This window comes from Homo sapiens, chromosome 6, assembly GCF_000001405.40.
Source record: "Homo sapiens chromosome 6, GRCh38.p14 Primary Assembly".
Taxonomy (NCBI): Eukaryota; Metazoa; Chordata; class Mammalia; order Primates; family Hominidae; genus Homo; species Homo sapiens.
Genome location: NC_000006.12, coordinates 5,598,168 through 5,624,495, shown reverse-complemented (window position 1 = coordinate 5,624,495; position 26,328 = coordinate 5,598,168). Strand labels below are relative to the sequence as shown.

General features: G+C 41.8%; 1 protein-coding gene and 1 pseudogene across 15 annotated transcripts in view; one reads left to right on the top strand and one right to left on the bottom strand.

Annotated features, from left to right (window-relative positions):
* Nucleotides 1–26,328, bottom strand: part of FARS2 (phenylalanyl-tRNA synthetase 2, mitochondrial) — a 521,650-nt gene that overhangs the window by 147,088 nt on the left and 348,234 nt on the right. For 14 of the 15 annotated variants that reach the window (XM_047418086.1, NM_001374878.1, NM_001318872.2 and 11 more), the window contains one exon: nucleotides 11,176–11,327. In XM_047418086.1, coding sequence (XP_047274042.1) covers nucleotides 11,176–11,327 — 152 coding nt within the window. Of the gene's footprint in view, nucleotides 1–3,033; nucleotides 5,097–11,175; nucleotides 11,328–26,328 lie in introns of those variants that run through there. The other variant, XM_011514247.4, reaches the window with a different exon arrangement.
* Nucleotides 14,215–15,765, top strand: HNRNPA1P37 (heterogeneous nuclear ribonucleoprotein A1 pseudogene 37; annotated as a pseudogene).

The following is a 26,328-nucleotide window of genomic DNA, read 5'->3' as shown; positions in this document are numbered from 1 at the left end:
CCTGCCTAGCTGCTGTTGAGCAAGCAGTCTCTCTGCCTCTGCCCTTCTCTCTGCAGAGACACTACTCCTGGGTCCCTGCCAGGACAGCACTGAAGGGAATCCCGAAGAATCTTTAGGCAAATGGTGATGTGCAGGGCAACAAGGAGGAACAAGGTGTTTGGGGACTGAACAAACTGTGATTTAATTCATCTAATGCTGGTGTCAAGCAGGGCTGCTATGTGATGGGAATGAGATGCACCCATCGTAAGCTGTTAAAAGAAAGCTTGGGGAAGGAGGAAAGAGAAAGGAAGAAGGGGAAAACAGATATCCAGGCTAAAAACAGTTTGTGAGAATTGCTTTTTCGGCTGTCTGAACCACCACAACAAAAGTTCTTATACCCACATCACCAGCATTACAATAAAAATGGAAAAGAAAAGGAAGCAGCCAGGAGAGTTTTAAAGAGGCCTGGCAGTGTCTGGCCATCCCCTTGGTACTGCATGCTGCCAATTTCAAGGAGACACAACTTCTGACAAGCTCCCTGTACCCATGGCTCTCTCAAGATTAGCTGTCATTGGCTTTTCAGCGCTAGGCTATCTTTAAGTTCAGATAACTGCACTTATTTGGCTCTGTCCAGAGGAATAAGACCAGGATGTGATTTGCAAACCAGAAATGTCATCTCATCTGCCACTGTCCACAGCATTTTCCCAACACAGGACCCAGAGAACACCCAGACTGGCTATATAACTCTGCTGACCAGCATCGATGCCACTTTACAAAGTCTTTATTTTATTTATTTATTTTTTTTGAGACACAGTCTCGCTCTGTCACCCAGGCTGGAGTGTAGTGGCATGATCTAAGCTCACTGCGACCTCCGCCTCCTGGCTTCAATTAATTCTCCTGCCTCAGCCTCCTGAGTAGCTGGGATTACAGGCGCGTGCCACCACGTCTGGCTAATTTTTGTATTTTTAGTAGAGACGGGGTTTCACCACATTGGTCAGGCTGGTCTCAAACTCCTGACCTCGTGATCCGCCTGCCCTAGCCTCCAAAAGTGCTGGGATTACACACATGAGCCACCGTGCCCGGCCTACAAGTATTTTTTTAATTAAAAATTTCCTCCTTAAATTGCAGGAATAACATGCATCATTTCCAAATGACAGTTTTATACAAAGTCTCATTCTGTTTCCCTTCATTATCCCAACTTCCCAGTTATATGCATTTGGCTGCCAAGTCCAAGGCTCCCAGTTGTACTGAGGTTATTCTTTATTTTAAAGTACAAGTTAGATTGACTATGACACTGGCTTTTTACTCTAATAGCTAACTCGTTTTTTGGAAACTGTCTTAAATTTTCAAAGCATTTCACATAGATAGTGTCATCTAGTTTTCCTAGCTACCATTTATGGATGACATTACTCCTGGTGGTAGATGAGGAAACTAAGGCTCCAAAAGTCCCAACATCACACATCTAAGGTGTGAAAGTCAGGACTCACCCATGCCTTCCAATTCTAAATTCTGAGCTCTTCCACTAAACTACGTGGACTCTACTTCTCATAAACTATTTCCAGTCATTGAATAACAGTTCCTCTAAGGAAGGAAGAAGCACTAGTTAACCATCCAGCAAGCATTATGTAGTAAGTCTCCCTCCACTGATATAAACATTGCAGGAAGACGAAAATGAGCTATTGTCTTAATCTGTTCCTGCCACTATACAAAGTAGCTTAGATTGAGTAATTAATACACAATAGAAACGCATTTCTCACGGTTCTGGAGGCTGGGAAGTCGAAGATCAAGGTGCCAGCAGATTTGGTGTCTGGTGAAGGCTGTCTCTCTCCACTTCATAGTTGGCTCCTCTTACTCATCCTCACATGGCGGAGGGACAAAGGACAAAAGGGACGAACACTGTGTCCTCCCCAAGGTGGAAGAGATGGAAGGAGCAGGCAGCTCTCTGAAGCCTCTTCTATAAGGGCACGAATCCCATTCATGAGGGCAGAGCCCTCATGACTTAATCATTTCCCAAAGGCCTCGTTTCTTAATACCAACACAATAGAGATTCCTGTTTGACATGAATTTTGGAGGAACACAAACATTCAAACCATAGCACTTACTATGCCACAGGCCTCTAAGGAGTTTCCATCATGTGGAATAGCCTAGAAAAGTTTAAATGCAAATAGAGAATAAAAGCTAAGAATGAGCCAACAATAAGCTGCAGTTACACAGAGTTCTACACATGGAGCTGACCGGTGGCAGGTCGGAGAAAGAGGAAGGCGGTGTAAAAAATCTGATGAGCCCTCCAGGTTGAAATTGCTCTGCCGAGGGCTTCCTGCTCTGGCGAGTAGGGCTGGGCTGTTTTATAAGTGGCCCCTAGTGAGATTGACAATGGATTCTTAACCCAACGGTGGTCCATGTGCAGGTGGCCCAGCACCCCAGGAGGCAGCCTGATGCAAGGGGATCTGCCTGAAAGGCATGATGGTGTTTAGCTCAGTCAGTCAGGCTATTTCCCTCCAGAATTTGCACTGGATAATGAAGCAGACTGGCTAGAAAAGACTGCAGGTAATGTAGAAAGAGAAGAGATGTTAATGTGTGTATGGTGGGGAAGTAGAGGATACAGACTGGCCAGCAGAAGGAAGGACAGAAACAGAGCCAGAGGCACCCAGAGGCTGAGGGTCTCTGGCCCTTAGACCTTCCCTCAGTTCTGAAGAGCTTTCCAGTTTTGATTCAGGTGTATCCTGAGATAAATTCCCTTTGTCTTAAAGTACCCACCATGAGTGGGTCTATCCTGGCAACAGTTTTTGGAAGCTGAGTTTCTATGACAGGTAGTTCACACACATTAACTAGAGTTGGGACTGTGTACATCCCATTCATAAGGGATTAGAAGGGAGACAGACATACACAGCTTGCTATTCGGTTTCCTTGGTAAACTTTCCCAGACTGAAGGCCTCTTTCCTCTGAATCTGCAGCCCTGGATGATGGGTACCTTCCATTTCAAGTCAATCAAAGTTTCCTGAGTGTTAATTACATGCAAGAAACTGGGAAGGCCATTCATTAGGCTTAACCAGCCTTGTTACATCATATTTTTTATTGCTATTTCACTTTTCGCATGTTATTTAGCTCCATAAAAACCGGGATCTTGGCCAGGTGTAGTGGTTCACACCTGTAATCCCAACATTTTAGGAGGCCAAGGAGGGAGGATCCCTTGAGGCCAGGAGTTCAAGATCGGCCTGGGCAACGAAGCAAGACCTCCATCTCTATTAAAAAAAAAAAAAAAGTTAGCCAAGTGTGGTGGCCTATGCCTGTAGTCCTAGCTACTTGGGAGACTAAGGTAGGAAGACCACTTGAGCCTAGGAGTTGCACTCCAGCCTGGGCAACAGAACAAAGCCCTGTCTCAAAACACAAAAACAAACAAACACCCCAGAATCTTGCCTCCATACCCTTATGACCCCACAGCAATTAGCCCAATGTTTTCCACAGCACAAGAACTCAAGAATCAATTGGCAAATGTATTTATGGCACATCTCTTTGCATGAAGTTTAAGGAAGGCTAGAAGTGGTGGTGCCTAAATCAGCAGCTACGTAGTTCAGGTGAAAGAGAAAATAAAGAAGGATGTGTAAGAACAGTAAACCTACTGACATATAGGAGAAGGCCGGAGGCCTGTCCACCTGACCCACGTGGCTAACTAGACCCTGGGCAGCATCTGACTCAAGTGGAGCCCATCCACCAACTGCCTCTGATCTAGCAGGAAAAGTTGAGTTGGGCTAATCCGGTCCCTTTGTTGAGACCATCAGAATAACACAAGGGACTTGAAGTTGGTGCTGATTGCTGGACAGTGAAGGTCATGTGGACTCGGGGCCCAGGTGGGGTATTCTGAACTCTGTATAAGACAAAAAAGAGCAGAAACGACATGGTGGGAAGGTGGGGAGAGACAGAATAAGTGTGAGAAAATGAAATGGAATAGGGAAGTGGTGACACCATGGAAAGAGTGAAGCTCAGACCCTTCAACTGCCTCAGTTCCTGCTCTTTCCAAAGCCTGGTTAATTTGTCCAGCTTGTCCTACATTTGAACAAGTGGGTCTCTCTGTTCCTTGGGACAAGAGCCCCCACTAGAACACCTCCTCCTGTGATGTGTTCTATCCCTTCTCCCCACTGCTCATAACATAAAATGAAGTACAATTTTATGAAACTTTTTTTATAAGAAGCATAAGACATTCTCCATTAAAGAAAATCCCAGTGGTTCTCAAACTGGGGGCAATTTTGCCTACCAAGGGGGCACTGGAGATATTTTTAGTTGTCATGTGTGTGCGTGTATGTGTGTGTCTGTGCGCGTGCACGGTAGGAAGGTTGTTACTGCTATCTAGTGAGTAGAGGCCGGGGATTCTGCTAAACATCGTATAATGCACAGGACAAAGAGTTACCAGGCCCAAAATATCAGTAGTGCAGAGGTTAAAAAACCCTCCCCAAGACCAAGGGATGACAATGCAAAGCATATACCAACTTCTCTATGTAAGGGCCGAAAACTCGTCTGATGCGCACATATGGAAAACAGTCATGATTGGGAAAATGTAAAAGTGTAAGAGCTGTTGTGTTCGGGTGTTGAGATGATGGGTGAATCTCATCTTTTCTATTTTCAAATTTGTATGCATTGGCATTTTTATTGGGTGTAATTTGACAAAGTGAAAATGAATGAACATATGGAAAAAAGAATGAAGAGAGGGAGACAGGAAGGAGAATGCACTGCTCCAGTACTGCAGGAGGAAGAGCTTTGACCAGGTCAACGTCCATGACTCATGCACACTGGGAAGCCAGGCCAGCCACACCGAGAAGGTGCCTCTCATGGTGAAGACCCTCTTGAGAATTCTGTCAGACATGGTCACAAGTGTTCTAGTCTACCCACTTAAGCCAAATTATAAAAAATGGCAAGTGATAGATCACAAAAGGGAATATAACCATGAGGAAGTTCAAGTAGGGATGAAGAGAACTGAGAGGCCCCTTTAGTGACCTGGGGTTGAGGGAGGAGCTCACCTCTAGCATCTCAGCTCTGACTGACAGTGCACAGACTCAGGAAGCCCCATCTGCGACTGTGAGCAGGAAGTGGCAGGCCAGCAGTCCCCGGAACAAGGAGTGAGTCTATGAGCAGAATCGGGTTAGGGGCATCAGTGAATCCACCCTTTCAAACCTGCCCTTGCTGCAGATACCTGGGGCATTTTTCACCACCAAACCCCTCCTTGCAATCAAAGGAAAGGGATGGTAGTAAAAAAAAAATTTTACTCCCCAATTCCCACTCTCAAAAAGGTCTGTCTTAAAGCCAGACCAAATCTGACCTATTAAGGTCTACTTTGTCTTACAGTCCATCTCCACAGTTCATAAATAATCAGCTGGCATCTCCAAATGAAGTGTTGGCAGCTAAAGGCAATGGCTAAGTTCCCCTGGGATACTCTTCACTCTTCCTCATACCCCATTTTGCTAAGAAATATTCTGAGCAACTGGTGTTACAGAATAAAACAAAAAACAACACCATAATTCCTTAAGGTGCATGAACTTGGAGACTGAAGATGATCAATGTATTCATATTACAAATGTGATGGAGGGGATATCAAGTTCATATACTGACATACATGATTGCCTTCTCAAGTCTCCCATTTAGTCAATGCATCATATAGTACCATATTCCAAAGATGTCAAAGGACATGGCAACCTGGTCCCCTTCCCTACAGGTAATCACCATTCTATTTTTTGTTACATTAAGTTTAGAACTACAAGAACTCTTCTGCACGTTAAGTGGCCCATAGATTAAGTGGCAAAGACCCTCTGGGAGAAGGTTCTAAATGACTGGCTGGAACAAAACGCCATTTTCTTCTAACCTGAACATCTATCCTCCTTCAGGGCACAAGCTGTTATTTGTAATCAAGAAAAAATTTCTCCATTTGTCTAATATTATGAAATTAGGCTCTTCTTCGGCAGTTTATGTCTCCCTGAAACATCTTGGGATCTGTTTTTGTTCAGAAAATAACATGCAACGTGTCTAACGACTTTGTCTTTCACTCAGTCCTATCACGTCTCACACTTAAGCATGCTTTGATGTTAGGCAAAGAAAGGGTCGGCGCTCTTTTGCACTATCAGGCTATATTTCATTTATATGTTTATGGAATAAAATAAATCTTGAGGTCAAGGTTCAAGGTCAGGAGACCATTCACTTCCTATCACCTAAGTAGTCAGGGACTTGGTGGGGAGATGGGGAGGATGGGCACAGGGTGCTCAAGGAAGGATGATCTCCCAGTAGAGGGTTTTGGAATTTGGGAGTCAGAGTCTTCAAAAAAAACTTCATGTATCCCCCTCCCCCAAATCAAGGGTTAGCAACCTACAGCCCATGGGCCAAATTCACATTCCACTGTCTGATATTGTAGTCAAAGCTTCATTGGAACACAACCAGGCTCCTTTGTTTATATTTTATCTGTGACTGCTTTTGCACTTGCAGACTTGAGTAGTTACGAGAGAAATCTTATGACCCACAACGTCAAAAATATTCACAATCTGGTCAGCCCTTGCCCTAGATACTTATTGAGGATCACTGCACAGTAAGCCATCATTACTAAATAATGTGTCCTTTTCCTCAGGTATATTTCCCAGTACTGTAATAGCTAGGTTTTGCTTTGGCTGTCAATAATGAGATCTAAAAAATAAGTGGCCTAAACAAGGTATTTCTCTCTCAGCTACAAGTCCAGGGCTGAAGTGACACAGATTCAAGCCCCAGGCTATTTCTTCTATGTTGTTGCTCCACTCCATACAGTCTCCATTGCCAAGTCCGCACCATGGCCCAAAATGGCTGCAAGAATACTAGCCATCACAGTCACAATGAAGTAGCAGGAAGAAAAAAGAATACCCTCAATTCAACTTTTAAAGAAACTTCTGGAAATACCACTAAACACATCTACTTACAAATCATTGGCCAATTTAGAAGTATAGACTTCTAGCTGAGTGGAAAATTGCTGAGCTAAAAAACCAGGTTTTTGTTATTACAACAATGGCATGAGGCAGAAGGACGGGGGCAGGGGGAATTGGATATTGAGAGATAATTAGCAATCTCTGCCACAGGAACCTTACTCCAATCACCAAGCCCCTTATTTCTTAATAAGGGACACATGCCCTTGGCAGCCATGCCCTTTGGCATAGCTCCAAAAAAATAGTCTATAAATATCTGTACAATATGTATTCAAGACATTGTAAGATCAGTGCCAATGAAGAATGTTTTCAAATTTCTAATCAAAAGTACTGTCTCCTTCAGAAGGAACTGAATAAGTTCACCTTTTAGCAGGTCAGTATGGGGTTGTGTGTGTATACCTGCATTAAGAGTATTTCTAATACTCTATTTTTTTTAGAAAAATATTTATTTTTTTCAGTGATTTTTTTTAATGGGGTGTCTGCCTGCCTGATCTGTCCCTGGGTCCACAGGACCCCAACACTACCCTACTCCCACTGCAGTCTTTCCAGTTAGCATGCCCATTCAGCATTCCCCTTGAACACTACCAAATTATCAAAAAGATTCAATGTTTACCCCCTCCTCAAGTGACATCTACCCCCCACATCCAGCACAACAGAAATTTCTCTCAGCTTCCTAGGTTTTTAGCATCTCTCTGTAACCTAGTAGGTTCTGAAAATCTCCAGTGCGAAAGGGTTACTCATCCCACTTTTGACGCTGGCAAGGGTGAAGCTACGGCCATATCAGAAAGTAAGGGACTGTGACCTCAAAAATTAAGAATGAATTCCAAATCCCTGATTCCAGAGTTTTCTGTAGGTTGAGCATCTCTAATCTAAAGATCCAAAATCCAAACTGCTCCAAAATCTGAAGCTTTCTGATTATTCAATATACATAAACTTTATTTTATGCACAAATTTTTAAAAATATTGTATAAAATTACCTTCAGGATACACGTATAAGGTATATATGAAAGAAATTTTGTGTTTAGACTTGGGTCCCATCCCCAAGATATCTCATTACATATATGCAAATATTCCAACATCTGAGAAGATCCAAACTCTGAAACACTTCTGGCCCCAAGCATTTTTTGGATAAGGGATACTCAACTTGTACTAAAAAAGAATGGGAAAAAATTACAAGTCACATGCCTTTGGCATATCAATTAGTACTCAGCAATCAGTCTTGTTCCAATATTTTTCCTTCTCTTCAAATGTAAATAACTAGACTTCTAGTATCAACATGGAAACTCCTGGAAATTTCTTTCTCACATAAAAGTCCAGGGCTGAATTGGCACTCCACAGCATCAGGGATCCAGACTACCCCATACATTCTATTTTCTGTAAAGTTAGGAGACAGATATCATCTGCAAGCTCCAAAATATATTTAAAGGCTGCCAACAGCAGCTGAAATCAAGTAGAAGCCAAATGAGAGGAAGTGAAGAGAAGAAACACACAGAGTGGCACATCTCAGAAAACTCCAGCAAAAACATGGTTTTTTTGTTTGTTTGTTTCGTTGTTTTTTTTTTTTTTTTTTTTTTTTTAAGAGCTATGGGTTACAATCTGAAGTGTAAAGTCTCTATCTCCAAGTGTTGATAATGGAGTAAGCAAAGGTAATTATTCTGTTTCTAACAAGTGTAGATTTGGGGTGGGAGGAAGACCTATACAAGAAAATCGAAGAGATGAGTCATGTTTAAAGAAAGTTGGTTTCTTGGCATTCTAGAAAAATAAAGCCTTAAGAGCATGAAAACAAGCTAGGTTGAATGTCTATCCCAGCCCCTGCCTGCTATGCCAACCCTCAACCTCCCCCTAGTCTTGTGCAAATAGCTGGTCCAGGAAACCCAATGCATTCAAATATGAGCGGCAAAAAAGCGATCATATGCACACCACTGACAGATCAATTAAAAAAGAATTGAGGGAAAAAAGAGGACAATGGCAGAGAAACAGAAAAGTCACAGAAAAATGTTGCCATTGGAGCATACGAAATTTCTGGCTAAATATTTTACAATCAATTTTTAAAATGTAGTGAAGCAATTTCTCTATGAAGGAAGACCAGAAAGCAGAAATAACTCAGAGAAGAGATGGCAAGAAAGCAGGGGGAGCTAAAATGTGAGCTTGCAGAACCCAGAACGGGGAGAAAAGCAAAGTAACTACAGATGGAAGGTACACAAGGGAGAAAAGACAGAAGAAAACACAGTAAGGGACAGAGAAGATAACAATGAGGAGAGCATACCAAATGAAGCGGAAATGAGAATTTTAAAACATTAGAGAGAAAATAATAGGTACAGAAGTCAGACAAAGGAGAGCCTACTTATGCATAACTGGATCCCTGAAGAATGAAACAGAACAGAACAATGGATCAGAACAAATCCCTAAAGATATAATTCAAGAAAATTTTCCTAAAATAAATAAGAGTCCAATCCAATTTGTGAAACACAATGATATATACTAGGGAGAAAAGATCAATACTGAGGTGGAGCCTGATAAAGATAATAAACTTGAAAGATAAAGAAGGAATCCTTTAAAACAAAAAGCAAAAAGATCAAGTATGGCATCAGATTTCTTTATATGAAATTAAACTTGAGAGGACAATCGAGCAGCACTTACAAGATCCTCCCAAAAAGAAAGACCAAGCCAAGATTTTACTTCCAACCAAACTGTTATTCAAGTATAAACAGATAAACAGTTTTGAACATGCGAGAGCTCAGGGACTATTGTTTCCACAAGTTGTTGAGCAAAATTCTAGATGATGAACTTCAGTCATTTAGATAATTGGGGAAAGGGAGGCAAAACAATTGGCAGTGAACACTGAACATCTTTATCTAGAGAATGAATGCTTTAAAAGACAAAGAAGGCAGCCCAGCGCGATGGCTCACGCCTGTAATCACAGCACTTTGGGAGGCCCAGGCGGGCGGATCATGAGGTCAGGAGATGGAGACCACGGTGAAACCCTGTCTCTACTAAAAAATACAAAAAAATTAGCCGGGGGCCGTAGCAGGCGCCTGTAGTCCCAGCTACTCAGGAGGCTGAGGCAGGAGAACGGCGTGAACCTGGGAGGCGGAGCTTGCAGTGAGCCGAGATCGCATCACTGCACTCCAGCCTGGGCGACAGAGCGAGACTCCGTCTCAAAAAAAAAAAAAAAAGACAAAGAAGGAAACAGGTGGGAGTCTGAATGACAGGATATAACGTGGGAGCCAGGAGCCCTGACAATTTAGATATGACACACCTGGAACAATCAGGCGGGGAAGGGAAAATGGAGGTGTGAATTAGACAGGATTTGGTGACTGTTTCTTCTCTAACAGCTAGGAGCCAAAGGGGACCATTTAAAGGTGACCAGTCAGAAATGCAAATCAAATCACGTCACTTATCTCTCTGCTCCTATCCTTCTATAGCTTCCCACTACAATTAGGGTAAAATTCCAAGTCTGAGACCTTGCAGGTTCCAGGCCCACCTGGCCCTGGAAACACATCACTACCCAACAATCATCACTTTACACAGCCTCCCCCTTGGTCCTTGAGCTGCCGTGTTCTTGGCTGCCTTCTGCATCTCATGTGCCCTTTTCCCCCCAGGACTCCCATGTGCTATCTGCGATGCTCCTTCTTCTTTCTTCACTGCCCATCATCCTTCTGTTCTCAGCTTCCATGTCTCAAAGTGGCCTGCCCTGACTCCCCACATGAAATTAGTTTTTTGATGACACCCAATGCATTTTTCCCTCATAATAGCATGCTTTCATAATTATGTATTTAACGTCTGCCTCTCTCACAAGACTATAAGTTCCAAGAAGGCAGAGCTAAGTCTGTTTGGAACACATTTAATTCCTAGGACGTAATATAGATCTTGGCGTGTGGTAAGTGCTTAACAAATATTTGCTGAGAGACTATCAAAACAGCTTCTACTCCACAAACTGCTCTTTCTGCCCATTTCCTCTGCACCTGGAACATGCTAAGGTAAGAAGTCACTTCCAAAAACAATACTGAAAAGCTGCAGGACTTTTAAAAGATTCTGTTTCATATATTTTCTTTACTAAGGCAGGAAAGATGGAAAATGCATCTTGGAAAGATTTTCAGAGACGACTGATATCAAAGAGTTTTCTGATAAGCTATACATTCACTACAAATTCAGAAGACATTTTGTCTCAGATACCCTGGGTTTCAGCAAATTTTATGATATGCTTCCACATGACATTTATCACACAGAGATAGTCAAGGGTAAAATCAGAAAGCTTTTCACTTACTTTGGATGTACAAACTTGTCTATGAGATCAACCTTTTCCACCAGGTCTCCTCCAATTGTTCGGACTAAGTCATAGAAATCATTTTCTGCGTAATTCTCAGAGGGCAACCAGAATGAAATATCATTGATCACAGCCGGATATTTGCTAAGAGGCTAACAAAACAAGAGGAGAAAAGATACATGAACTTGTTAGTTGAATGAGAATATTTAAATTTTTCATAAAAAGTTGCACTTGACTAATTAGGAAATGCTAGTAAAACATCATTTCAGCATCTAAATTTGCAGAACAAAATGAACTTAAAAGACAAATCAATATTCAAAATTAGCAAATTCCATTATGAATATTACAGATTCTTATCACATTCATGTGTAACATTACCATATATTATATTTATATTGCCATTAACGTTCAACTTAGTACAAAGAAATTTGAATGTATTATATTTCTGTTTTTCCCATTTGAATACTAGAGGAGAAAAGTTCAAATTTAATTAACATGCAATTCATTAACTTCTTGTGATACTTTCAGAAAGCCATTTTAGTAGAGGAATAAGAGCTTATCAAAATTAATATTTCAATTAGTAATGTCATTATTTGTTAGTATTTCTAATTACTAAAATAAAGGATTGGGTTGATAAGTAGTTCCTTGGGGAATTATTTTTCAAATTATGCCTTTAAGGATGTGATAAACATAAATGTAGCCATTTCCCCCACTTTATTCCATTTTTTCCAGCTTACTAGCTCAGTAGTTCACCATTATATAGGACAGACATTTAAAATTAGATATGTTTAGAAGTTACTGTATTTGTTTATTGCTTTCACACACACACACAAATATATATATATCACAACTAAACATATAACTCTCACATATATACATCAAAATTATACATAGATATATGTGTGTATGTTTTGGTCTGTAAGTTACTGCTGCAATAAAAAAAGTTTTGTTACATAACTATGAAATCCTAAGGAAATATCTGCTAAATCCAAACATCTTTTAGAAGGGCAAATTTACAAACTAATTTATGCCAAGCCTGACATTGCTACAAACCCTTTGGTGAATCATTGATCAGAGAAAGTATAAAGCTTTTAAATGGCAAAGTATCTGAAGAACTAAATGCTCAAACATAAATGATTATCCAACTTGAAATATCAATAAAGTTGTCAAACAAATGCATCAGTTTAGAACACACATTTCATACAAACACGATAGTTAGCATCCGGGTGCTGTTGACAAAATATATTGGTTCCTGAGAAGCGTTTTGTTTTCTCTCCTGAAGTCACACTGCTGTGACAAATGACCCATGAGTTAATGTAACAATAGATGACAGGAGTTTGGTGGTTACACAGGTTGTTTTCCCTTTTGTTCCTTATGGAAAATGGAAATTTAGGGAGATAAGAGACTGAGATTGCCAAGAATTAGCATGGAATCTCCTCTTCAATTAATCCAAGCTGAGGTACCACACTTCCTGAGTTCTGATGCCAGGCACGGTGACAGAGAAATGGCAGAAGGTGTCCCAATGAAACACGTGTCAACAATTCATGGACAACAGTCAATATGATAATAACGCAGGCAGCCAGAACACATGCCCCAAGACATTATTAAAATATACATTGTGGTAAATACAGTTTAAAATCCATGCAGTTTAAAAGAAAAACCCAGACAGCTTATTATATTGCAAGCCTATTTCAAGCTAAAAAATATAAAAAGTTTAATGGTTTAACGGAAAAGAAAGCATTTAATCCACTAATAGGTAGGTATCGGACATGGGATATCTACTAGTGGCCTTTGTTTTTTTGAATGGGAGACATACGATTTTGTTGGGAAATAAGAGGCTAACTACAGATCATGGTTACTGAGATGTGGGCTTTCTTTTAGGTGCTTAACCAGCGGTGGTGGTAAAAACCATCCTGTGGCTCCCCACTGCCCCAGGAGAAAGCCTCCAATTCCTAAAAGCTTCTACCTCTTTCCGACGTTCTGTAGGTTCAGGCCAGCCCAGCCTACTGGGTTTCTTAAACACACTAAGTGGCTTTCTCCATATAAAATTTCCCACCCTCCCTACCTCACTTCTGGCCCTCAGCCACCCTGTTCACTTGGTATCCTCACAGACTCCATCAATCCCATTACTGCACCCTATCCTTCTCTTGCACAGTACTTTTCATCCTCACTGTTTGTGTACTTACTTACTTCATGGCTGTCTTCCTGAGAGACTGCCATTTTTGAGGGTGGGGTGTGCATCTCTGTCTCCACCTCTGGAATCTCCTTACTGTGCACAGTCCCTGTTACATTGCAGGTATTCTAGAGCCTAGAGGAGCACATTACAGAGCCACCTGCTGTGAGCAATGACTACAGTACAGTCAGTGCATTCAGCTGTGTTTTCTCTTCTAACTGCGTGAGCTAGTGGACATACCACGTCGGTGGGACACAGAGCGTTGCCTCCATCCCTGGATTGTCCTAGGGTTTAGCAACCACGTGGAATGGCAGAGAGGCTGAAGCTGGACAGGCAAAGCCACCTGGTGGGCACTTGATAACCCACAACCATAGAATTGTGGAATTTTAGAATCCAAAGGGACCTTCGATTACGTACAATATTATTCATGTTTTCTTATTTCTTTTCTTAACAGAAGGATGACTATTTTACTAGTTTTATCAGATAACTGCATATAGTCGTCCCTCAGTATCTGAGGGGGATTGATTCCAGGGCCCCCACAGCTACCAAAATCCTCAGGTCCCTTATATAAAATGGTGTAGTATTTGCATATAACCTATGCACATCTAGATTACTCATAATACCTAATACAATGTAAATGTTATGTAAGTAGCTGTTATATTGTATTTTAAAATTTTTATTATGTTTTATTGTTGTATTTTTAAATTGTTTTTCCCCCAAATATTTTTGACTACAATTGGCTGAATCCACAGATGTGAAACCCCTATATACAGAGAGCTGACTGCATTGATGTGTTCTTTTGTTGATCCTCTTTATAATTCTTTTTTTTTTTTTTTAAAAAGAATTGAAAAGGGCATCAAAACTACAGATACGATTCGTCAGCTTGCTACTTTCTGCTCGTGGATGCTGCTGAAAAAACATCATTAAAGTCTCTCTTCTCCCTGCCGTCCTGTCTAAGTCAGAGTCTCCTAAAGAGCCCGAATAGCTGAGGAAGCTCTTCATTGGAGGGTTGAGCTTTGAAACAACCAATGAGAGCCTGAGGAGCCATTCTGAGCAATGGGGAATGCTCCTGGACTGTGTGGTAATGAGAGACCCAAACACCAATTGCTCCAGGGGCTTTGGGTTTGTCACTATGCCACTGCGGAGGAGGTGGAAGCAGCCACGAATGCAAGGCCACACAAGGTGGATGGAAGAGTTGTGGAACCAAAGAGAGCTGTCTCAAGAGAAGATTCTCAAACACCAGATGCCCACTTAACTGTGAAAAAGGCATTTGTTGGTGGCATTAAAGACACTGAAGAACATCACCTAAGAGATTATTTTGAAGAGATTATTTTGAACAGTTTGGAAAAACTGAAGTGACTGAAATCATGACTGACCGAGGCAGTGGCAAGAAAAGGGGCTTTGCCTTTGTAACTTTTGACGACCATGACTCCGTGGATAAGACTGTCATTCAGAAATGCCATCCTGTGAATGGCCACAACTGTGAAGTTAGGAAAGCCCTGTCAAAGCAAGAGATGGTGAGTGCTTCTTTCAGCCAAAGAGGTGAAGTGGTTCTGGAAACTTTGGTGGTGGTCGTGGAGGTGGTTTCAGTGGGAATGACAACTTTGGTCATGGAGGAAACTTCAGTGGTCATGGTGGCTTTGGTGGCAGCCATGATGGTGGTGGATATGGTGGCAGGGCGGATGGCTATAATGGATTTGGTAATGATGGAAGCTATTTTGGAGGTGGTGGAAGCTACAATGATTTTGGCAATTACAACAATCAGTCTTCAAATTTTGGACCCATGAAGGGAGGAAACTTTGGAGGCAGAAGCTCTGGTCCCTATGGTGGTAGAGGCCAATACTTTGCCAAACCATGAAACCAAGGTGGCTAGGGCAGTTCCAGTAGCAGCAGTAGCTAAGGCAGTGGCAGAAGATTTTAATTAGGAAACAAAGCTTAGCCGGAGAGGAGAGCCAGAGAAGTGTCAGGGAAGCTACAGGTTACAACGGATTTGTGAACTCAGCCAAGCACAGTGGTGGCAGGGCCTAGCTGCTACAAAGAAGACATATTTTAGACAAATACTCATGTGTATGGGCAAAAAACTGAGGACTGTATTTGTGACTAACTGTACAACAGGTTATTTTAGTTTCTGTTCTGTGGAAAGTGTAAAGCATTCCAACAAAGGGTTTTAATACAGATTTTTTTTTTTGGCACCCATGCTGTTGATTGCTAAATGTAATAGTCTGATTGTGATACTGAATAAATGTCTTTTTTTTTTAATGTGCTGTATAAAGTTAGTCTGCTCTGAAGCCATCTTGGTAAATTTTCCCCAAGAGTGTGAAGTTAGAATTCCTTCAGGGTGATGCCAGGTTCTTTTTGGAGTTTATATACAACCTGCTTGGGTGGAGAAGCCATTGTCTTCAGAAACCTTGGTGTAGGTGAACTGATGGTTACTGTTGCGATCTGAAGTTCACCATTAAAAGGGATTACCCAAGCAAAATCATGGAATTATTGGTTATAAAAATGATTGTTGGCCCATCCTATGCAATATATCTAAATTGAATCTGGAACCAGATAAAATTATAGATGGAAATGAAGTTTGTGTATCATTCATTATCATGTGTAATCAATAAACGATTTAATACTCAAAAAAAACTACAGATACAGTAGAGACTTTAGAAGTCATAGGTGAATATTTTGAACTATTTAGTAAGAATGAACTTGGAAACTTTGATTAAATGGATATTTCACTCAAAACAGAAAACTTAAACTGATGACTAGGTACCCACCATCAGCAGTGCTCTGTCTCATCACAGGTCTAACCAAGGCAGTAAACAAGAAACAGCTATGAACCTAATGAATAGAAATGGCATAGGCAAAAATGTGTGATCCCAAATTTAAAGTTTTCCTACCAGGCATATGACTTGGACATGCGCAAACTGATGGTAAACACTCCTGTAACACTCTCTTCTTACCCTTACATTTATCACACTGCAGCTATTTCCAATGGTCTTGAAACGATATCCTTATATTTGAGGTTAAAAAGCAAGTTACAACAAAGTTCCAAGAATGAGTAATACTACGTTTTCCGACATCAATGCAATTAAATTTGAAGTTCACGATAAAAAGATATTTGTTAAAAGTCATAAAATTCATATATTTGGAAACTAAAAAAAAAAAAAAAATACATGCCCAAGTAAAAAGTAGCAATATAATCAATGTTCTTGGGGTGTTTGAAAGGTATATGACCTCTCATTCTGGTGTGGTCACAATTCTTTATTGTATTATTCTAATCTTCTATATCCTTTCTTTTATCTGCTGATTTTCTTGATCTATCACTTTCTAATAAAAAGATAATAAAATCTCCCACTTGATCTCTGGGAAAGGTCCCTCCTCAGTCCCAGGGAATGAAAGTCATGACTTGTTAATCAAGACTAGTATAAACGCGTCATGGTTATTTACACCATTGGCCAGGCGAGGAGGGGGCATGACCTCAGTTTCACCAATGAGATGTTGTGGCAATTCTGTGGAGACTAAAACATCAGACCTCAGTGGGGACAGCTTTTCCACCCTTCCTTCCTGCTTGAGATGGTGGAACAAGGTCATGATGACTGAATGGCTTCAGATTTTTAACAGGTCACTTTAATCTATTTATATTCACTGTGATTATCAATATATTTTATTTATACCATCTTCATTTGTGTTTTCTGCTAACCAGTCTTCCTCTTTTCATAAATTTTCTCCTTTTCTGTGCCTATTGGATTGCTTGATTTTCAAAATATTCTAATATTTTCCCCCTGGTGTAAGGAGTAAATTGTATTTCTCTTCTTTAAGAAATACACACACACACACACACACACACACACACACACACACACACACATACATATTATTCTTTAATAAATTGTTCCAAGCACAAAGTTATTTAGTGTCTCTATTCAGCTACTAAAAAAGACAGGAAGCTTCATTTTCCCTAGCAGCCCTCCTTCCTGGTTATTCTTGTCTAGAGTTTCATCTTCTAAACAAAATCACAGGTAAAACAATAAATTAACTCAACAGCTAATTTTAAGTTAAAAATATTTTTAAATTCCGTATTTTTTCTTGTTTTCCACCTCTTTGTTGGGGGACAGTGCTCTATGGAGTTTTCATAAAACTTGTGGTGGCTTGTACACCAAATAGCACTGGAAGATGGTTAGTCTCTCCCTCTGGAGCAGAAAGCTGGTTTGTTCCCTCACCAGAATGATAAACATAATGTCTTCCTCAGGGACAAAGACTGGGCAGGTTTACTAATAGCCCCTTTAAAAGACTGGGCTAAAAACAAACACACGCAAATGGACAAATGAAATACTGGAAGGTGCCCAAGCTTGAGGGTTTTCAGCTGTGCTCCAGCCCAGTGTGTGTACAGCATCCAGAGCTGCTCCACCTCCCCGCTATTGAACTGGGGGACTAGAAGAGCCAATGCTAAGAGAACTCACGCCACCTCTGTGCTGAGTAACAAAGTCCTTGGTCTTTGAGGCAGGAGTCTCTTGCCTTTCTGCCTGCATCTATGAAAGTGCAGCGGTACCTTGTTAACCTGCAAGTGAGGTAAAATCTTAGGCCTTTCCTAGTCCCAACACCTTTCCTTCTTTTTCACTTCTGCTCTCTCAGATAAGTATCATTCAACAGTTTTTTTTGGCAGTGAAAGTCCACAGGAGGCAAACTCTCTCGGTATTTACATGTCTGAAACCCCTCACACTTTAATAATTTGGTAGGACACAAAATTCTAGCTTCATGTTTGTCTTCCCCAAGCACTCTGACAACTTCCCTGCCGCCTATTAGCAATGGTGACGAGTCTGCTGTCAGTCAGTGCTACTTCTTCACAGGTAATCTATCTTTCCTTCCAGGCAGTTTGGAAGCGGTGTAGCTTTATCCCCAAGGCTCTGCAATTTGACTCTGATGAGGCTGGGTCTGCATTTATCTTTATTTATTCTGCTCAGTACTCTGACAGCGCTCTCAATCAGAGGGTTCACGTCTTGTTCCAATTCTGAAAAATTCCAGCCCTACTTCTCTGCCATTCCTTTCATTCTCTCCTGGAACTGCAATAATCCATACTGCGGAGCTTCTGAATCTATCTTCCTCTCCTCTTAACTGACCTAGTTTAGGTTTTATTCTGTGTGTGTCTGTGCTGCATTCTGGGTGAATTCTTCAGTAACAGCGTCTTAACTACTAATTCTCCTGTCAACTGAGTCTAGTAGTCTCATCTGCTTTTCCTTCTTTATTTTAATGAATCTATCACTCATTTCTGAGATTCTAATTTTTTTCCTTATCTACTTACCCTTCATTTCTGCCAGTTTTTGCCTCTTATTCAGAATTTTCCTTTTTTGTTTAATGGTTATTATTTCTCCAATGGTCTCTTTGAGGGCATCAGGCATTTTTTTTTTCCAAGATAGCTTTTTTATTTTACTTTAGTCTCCAGTGAATTCACATTCTGATTGCTGATTTGGATGGCTGACACCCCAAGGTCAGAGTTCCTCACGTGGCATGGAATTTGGGTGGGCAGGCTTGGCCTGCATGGGAGATAATTGTGAATGTTCTCTTGCTGATCACCCTCCCTGCTCAGAGGTTTTTATGGTTCCTCTGCTCGAACCCCTCACACAGAATGGAGTTGACTTGGTGGTCTGGGTTCTTGCCCAATGGTGATACGGCTGATGATGACATGGGGTGCTTAGCTCAGTTCCTGAGAAGGAGGCCTTGTCTCTGTCCTGTGCTCTTCCCAGGATCAAAGCTTTCTATAGGCTAGAGGTTAGGGCAGGCAGTGATTCGGGCCTCCCTTCTAGATCAGAGGACAGGACCACTACCCTGCCCGCTTTCAAGCAGAGTAATGCTCTGGCCTGGCACATTTAGTCTTACTGCCACCAGAGCTAAGCCTCTGTTTCCACCTCCCGGCTAGCGATCCTGCAGCCCACAGTGTCTGGTTTCACACTCTGCTTTGCGTTTGTCTCTGGTCTGTAGTGATATATCTTTTTTAGGGGAGTAGGGGGCACGATTATGACTTTTTCATTTTCGCTTTTTAGATTTTGATCTGTCACTGCTGTGTGTTTGGAGCAGGCAAAGTGCAGCCTACAAAGCAGCCACGACATGACTCTGTTTCCTCACACAATGGTTCTTAACTTTGTCAGGGAGGAGGACAAAGGTCTCCCCGAGGATATGAAAACAGATTCAAATTCTTGTTCCAGAAATGTATATATCTTCTTAAATACAGATTTTCATGTAGAACTTTTAGGATTTACAAACCCAATAAAGTCATTCAATGACCGGAATAAGGATCTGGTCTATGACCCAGACTCAAAAGTGTGTCATGCAGTTCAAATACAGACAGCTGAGACGACCGACTTAAGGGAGTTAAAAAATACAAAAAATCATACTTTACTAACATGATATATACATGTATGTACATATACTGTGTATACCTCGATATTGTTAAGAATATATACTTTATGATAAAATCATACATAAAGGCAATCATTGTTTGTCTTGTGGTAACTACTTTCAATGCAGCATGTTTATTTAAATTTAAAAAGTCTGCCTTTTATGGGCTAGAAGAGAAACCCCTGCCTGCAGCTCACAGTTCTGTGGTTTCAGAGACGCCTGGGGTCCGCCGAGGGCCTGGTAGTGAGTGCACGGCAGCCCACCTCCTCCCCTGCCCATTCCTGCTGCCACCCCTGCCTTTCCACAGGTGTTGAACCTGCGAGCACCTGCTAATGAGCTTTCTGGCATGTTCATCTCTGCCTCAGAGTTTGCTTTCTGGGGGGGAAACTGACCTGTGACTCCAAGACATCAACAAAATGTCAGCAACCAGTCGACATAAGAATTGGTGTCCAGGGAAACAGCAAGCCTCAAGGAGTGTAGATGGGAGTGTGGCAGACCTGGCTCAGAATCTGCCCCATCCTACGAGCGATGACAGAGGAACGGCTCTGTCAGGGCCCCCTGGCAACCTCGCACATATCCGCATAAGCCACCAAGCAAAGACTTGAACCGCAGCTCATCTGTGTCTTGAAAGGATAAAGTCTTGTGATCCTCTGGTGTTCCAGGCCTTTAAGGAGCTGCTAGGAGCCATCTCCTATCCACCTCCCTACTTCCCTGGGAGGCTGTCATGAGGCAGTTTCTCCTCACCTCCCAGGTTCTGAAGGGGTGTGAGGCTCTCTGGCTTCCCTCCTTGGAATGGTACCATAGAATATAAAACCTCTGAGCTGCAGCCTTTAACTGGCTTCTCTGCAATGGGCTATGTCACAGCTGGCATTGTAATCACCGGCTCTGTTATGGATTGACTTGTGTTCCCCTCCCAAAAAAAGATAATGTGGGAGTCCTAAACCCCAGTACCTCAGAATACGAGCTTACTTAAAGACAGGATCTTTACGGAGGTAATACATTTAAAATGAAATCATTGGAGTGGACCCTAATGCAATATGACTGGTATCCTAATCAAACTGGGGAGGTCTGAACACAGGCATGCACACAGGGAGCACACCACCTGCAGATGAAGCCAGAGGCTGGGATAACGCTCCTGCAAGCCCAGGAATGCCAAAGTGTGCCAGCAAACCACTGGAGGTGAAGGAGGCACAAAACAGATCCTCAGAAGGAATCAACCCTGCCAACACCTTGGTCTTAAGACTTCCAGCCTCCAGAACTGAGAGACAATAAGTTTCTGCTGTTGAAGCCACGCTGGCTGTGGTACCTGTTTATGACCGCCCTACTAAACTAACATACCCGCCCTTTGTTTCAGGACCCTCCTTTTGTGATGGGTGGGAGCTTGCAACTTTGGCTACTCTTCCTTCTGCATTTATGTAAGTAACAAGCTGTCTAAATCTACAGAGGCTCCTAGCCTGGCCAACGTGGCGAAAACCATTTTAACAAAAAAATACAAAAATTAGCTGGGCTTGGTGGTCCATGCCTGTAGTCCCAGCTTCTTGGGAGGCTGAGGTTGGAAGATTATTTGAGCCCAGGAAGCAGAGGTTGCAGTGAGCTGAGATCGCACCACTGCACTACAGCCTAGGTAACAGAGTGAGACCCTGTGTCAAAAAATAACACAATAAAAAACAGAGTGGCCCCTTGTATCTTTACCAGCCGAAATCGGTCAGGCCTTGGCCCTGACTGGTGTGCCGTGGGCTTGACACATGACTGAGGCCAATATGCCTCAGTTTCTTCATCTATAAAATGGAGACAGCATACTGTGGTGAAGATGACATGAAATAATATTCACAAAGCCCAGACGTCATAGTGTTCTAGACAAAACACTGATTTGGAGAGTTCAACAGATACACAAGTTTGACGGTTGTCCATGACCCGGTTATAAATTATAAGCGTGCCAAAAGGGACTGAGGAGGGGAGGGGTAAAAAGTGGGATTCTGGTTTAACAATGCTACCCCATCCTAACTGGCCCCTGCTCCGGGCCTAGCCCCCGTATATGAAATATAAATGTCTCCATGCACCTTCCAAGGTTAAAATCCTGGGAGGTTCCCTTTTTTTTTTTTTTTTTTTTTTTTTGAGACGGAGTCTCACTCTATTGCCAGACTGGAGTGCAGTGGCATGATCTCGGCTCACTGCAACCTCTGCCTCCTGGGTCCAAGTGATTCTCCTGCCTCAGCCTCCCAAGTAGCTGGGACTGCAGGTGGCCACCACCACGCCCAGCTAATTTTTCTATTTTTAGTAGAGATGGGGTTTTACCATGTTGGCCAGGATGGTCTCAATCTCTTGTCCTCGTGATCCACCCACCTCAGCCTCCCAAAGTGCTGGGATTACAGGTGGAGCCACTGCACCCGGCTGGAGGTTTCCTTTTATCGTTCCATGACTGAATAAAAATTCTTCAGCTCCCATGAATCTGTTCATAAACATTCTCAAGAAAGCTAATAATTCTCAAGAAAGCATTGTCAGTTGTTAATTCAACCCAGTACTGCAGCACCCTTATTTCAGTAAAGTTTCTTTCTGCATCAAAATATTCCCCTTACCTTAAAACTCTTCTCCTTTTTAATGTTACTGAAACAGGGTAGCACTATCATTCTCCACTTGCAAATTTTTCCAGGCTAGTCAATCATTATTAAGTCATTCTCTGGTTTCCTTCCCTTTAGGCTAAGTTACTGTGTTTTTTGGTTTTCTTTCTCAGCTCAGAAATTATTTGGAATGCATGTCAAACAGGAGAGGGTCTCTGTTTTCTCCACAAGTTCTCCACAGTTATGGCATTGTCAAGGTGACTTTGAGTCAGCTTCTAACCATGGCCACGTTTAGTTAAAGGACCACTTTGCAGCTTTTATGGCACTTGTTCTCTTTCTAGATCAGAGCACACGTCCCCTGATTTTGATTGTGATTATATGATTACCAATGGTCACCGTTTGTGGGGTGCTGTGTGCCAGAGACTGTGCCAGCCACTTCATGTGTATTATCTCATTAACACACAGCACAACTCCACGAGATAGCCACCATTACCAATCCATGTGTCCACGAGGACACTGAGACTTAGAGACCTTAACTAAGCTGTCTAAGGTCCAACAGCCAGTAAGTGGCAGAGCCAAGGTCAAATGCAGGTCTACTAAGGCCAGGCTATGCTGTTAACCCCTGTACTTTGAGGCCTCCCCACTCTCGTCTTTTTTTTTTTTTTTTTTTTTTTTTTTGTGATGGAGTTTCACTCTCGTTGCCCAGGCTGGAGTGCAATGGTGTGATCTTGGCTCACCGCAACCTCTGCCTCCCAAGTTCAAGTGATTCTCCTGCCTCAGGCTCCTGAGTAGCTGGGATTACAGGCGCCCGCCACCATGCCTGGCTAATTTTTTTGTATTTTTAGTAGAGACAGGGTTTCTCCATGTTGGTCAGGCTGGTCTCGAACTCCCGACCTTGGGTGATCCACCTGCCTTGGCCTCCCAAAGTGCTGGGATTACAGGCGTGAACCACCGAGCCCGGCCCCAAGGCCTCCCATTTAAAACTAAGGGCTCTGATGTAGCTTGGGCTGCTGTAACAAAAATACCACAGACTCGGTGGCTTGAACAACAAACATTTACTTCTCACTGTTCTGGAGGCCACAGGGTGCCAGCATGGTTGGGTGCTTGAAGGCCCTCTTCCTGGTTTAGAGATGGCGGCTTTCTTGCTGAATCTTCACATGGCAGGGGGAGAGAAAGAGAGAGCTGCAAGTTCTGCTGTCTCTTCCTCTAATGGCACTAATCCCATTCCTGAGAGATCTACCCTCATGAACTAATTACCCCTCTAAAGCTCCACTTCCTAATACCCTAGTGGTTGGATCTCAAAGTACGAATTTGGGAGGGACACAAACATTTAGTCCAAGTTTCTACTACTGTTTCCAGAAGTAGTCTATTCAGCCTAATTAACAATTATGTAAATAACACCAAATCCAACATTTATCCCTATGGTGCCTTCCATGACATTTCCTTTTCGAATGATTAATTTAGCTTTTAGATTAATTATCTTGAGTCATAAGCACTTCCAGTCTGTTTATAGCCCATGCGATCGTGTTCTTATCTAAATTCACTTAAAAATCAGCTTTACCTATAAAAAATAGCATGCACTATCAGTTACTTTGTTTTCCATCGAAATGTTTGATGGCCCTTACTTTTAATTCCATCTATTCATTTTGTAATAAAAACTGCTTATCAAATTTGGCTGGTGAGTTTGGTACTTTATGAATTCAGGTTGTTTTAACTTATGATTTCATGCTGCTTTGATATTTACAGATTTTCTCACTTTGTTCCAATTTTTGTTTTTATTCTTACTTTCACTGAGTACCAGGAGCATACTGTGTTGGCCAGAGTTAGGCACAGTTCCTACTCAGGCAACTTTTGTTCTGTTACTTCATTAAGAAACCACACGAGACTCATCAAGTTCTAAACATCCCTCTAAATTGTAATGTTTCCCATATTTGTACCTAACTTTTGACAGAATTTCTGTAAGTATTTCCATAATGAAATCATATGGAACAATCATTCTGGTAACCTTGTATTCAATTAACTTTTGATGTTTCAATATCATGGTCCCCCAACTATCTAGTGAATTCCTTGAGGACAGAAATGGATTTTCAAGTCTTTTTGAATCCTTTCATATTTGCCTTACAGCTCTAGAATGCTTTACTTAAACAGATCATGTATTTGGAAAATGGAGCTACAGTGTGCTACTTTAGTTAGACAGGGGAGTAAGAGCCCATTTGCATTGCATGTGGCTCCAAAATCTTCATGGGGACTTAGGGTCTGAAGCAAGGTTTCAATGCCCCTGCCTGAACTTAATGCTTTTTCACAAAAAAAAAAAAAGAAGCAAGCCTGAGAAATCTTTGTTAAATAAAATATCACATGTGCCTCTGGTTAAGGAAGGGCTTGCAGAGGAGGTGGCGGCCTCAGCCCAGAGTTCATAATATTTCACTGCCTTTGAACATCTGGCCAGGTATTTTATACAGAATAAAAATGCCAAAAGTACAGTATCTTCTGGGGTGATGAAAATGTTCTAAAATTGACTGTGGAGATCACATATCTGTGAATATACTAAAAAACACCACTGAATTACAGACCTTAAATGGGTGAATTGTATAGCAGGTAAATTAATCTTGCAAACGTTTTCATGAAAACAAAAAATGAATAAATATATTGACAGAAGAAATACAGAGAACTTCTCTTTTCTATTCTGTCTCTATCTCATCTTCAGAACTTACCAAACACTTAATCTTTTACGTTCATTTTTTTCGGTTAAATAACTAGTCTTTCTGGAGGCGGCATTACCGTCACACTCTATTTTTCCTCTCAGACGTAAAATATTTGCAGGAGGTTTGCCCATCTGTGTAGATCTTCCATAGCATTTCTTTTCTGTATCGTCATGGTCTTGTGCCATCATGTACTTTAAGTGAACTCACGTATGGTTTTGGTTATAATTTCTCCCAGTTAATCATGCTTACTGTGAGACAGATATAAGCCTTCCATCTGCCTCATTTAAAATGAGTGGAGATGCTAGGTGAAAACACACATAATGAGAAGCTAGGTCTGCGAACCCCTAACCTTGAATTTAACCTCAAATATACTTAGAGGATGAACTCTCAGAGCTGGCTCACAGTTTCTTGTTAATTTCACATCATCTCAGTCTCTGCAAGGCCCCCATTCTGATAGGGACTCTATATGCTGCAAGGTAAAACTGAGGCCCAGCTAGCGAAGTCACTTGAATTTGCCTGAATCCACACAAAGCTGGCCTTCTGACTGTTCCAGTGTACAGAGGAAAAGGAGCAAATTGAAATGAACCCAAAGAACTTAAGACGTGATTTCCAGTGGCTTGTTCAAAATTGGAGCAAATGTCAAACATCCAAATCTCACAGAAGGAAGGCCTTTTACAGACTGGACCCCCTTGAATCTGACCTTCCTCCTTTCTTCCTCACCCTACCCCTACCCCCATGTCCTGGTCTAGTGGTCCTTTGGGGCCAGATGCTTTGATACTACATGTTTTCGATTTCTTCCTGACCTCCATAGTGCTAAAGAATTAACACTGTTTCTGTTTTTTCTCTGCAGTGACCCCAGCCCCCCAGTAGACATTCACCTTATGCCTGTGTTGGAAGCATTGTTTTGTACCCCTTTTGGTGACAGAAATACCCAGGGAAAGTGGTTATGCTGAGTTGATTACTTCTGAAAACATTTATTGATTGATACTTCCAGAAAATAGTCTAACATCAACTCTCAATTACAGGGTAGAAATGGAGAGAAGACAAAAAAGCTAAACATGACCACTTATTTATTTACTTACATACTTACTTACTCATTTATTTATTGATTGATTTTGGAGACAAGGTCTCCCTCTGTTGCCTGGGCTGGAGTGCAGTGGTACATTCATAGCTCACTGCAGCCTTGACCTGCTGGGCTCAAGTGATCCTACAGCCTCAGCCTCCAGAGTAGCGGGAACTACAGGCAGGTACCACCATGCCTGACTAATTTTTTTTTTGCAGAGACGGGGTCTCACTATGCTGTCTAGCCTCATCTTGAACTTTTGGCCTCAAG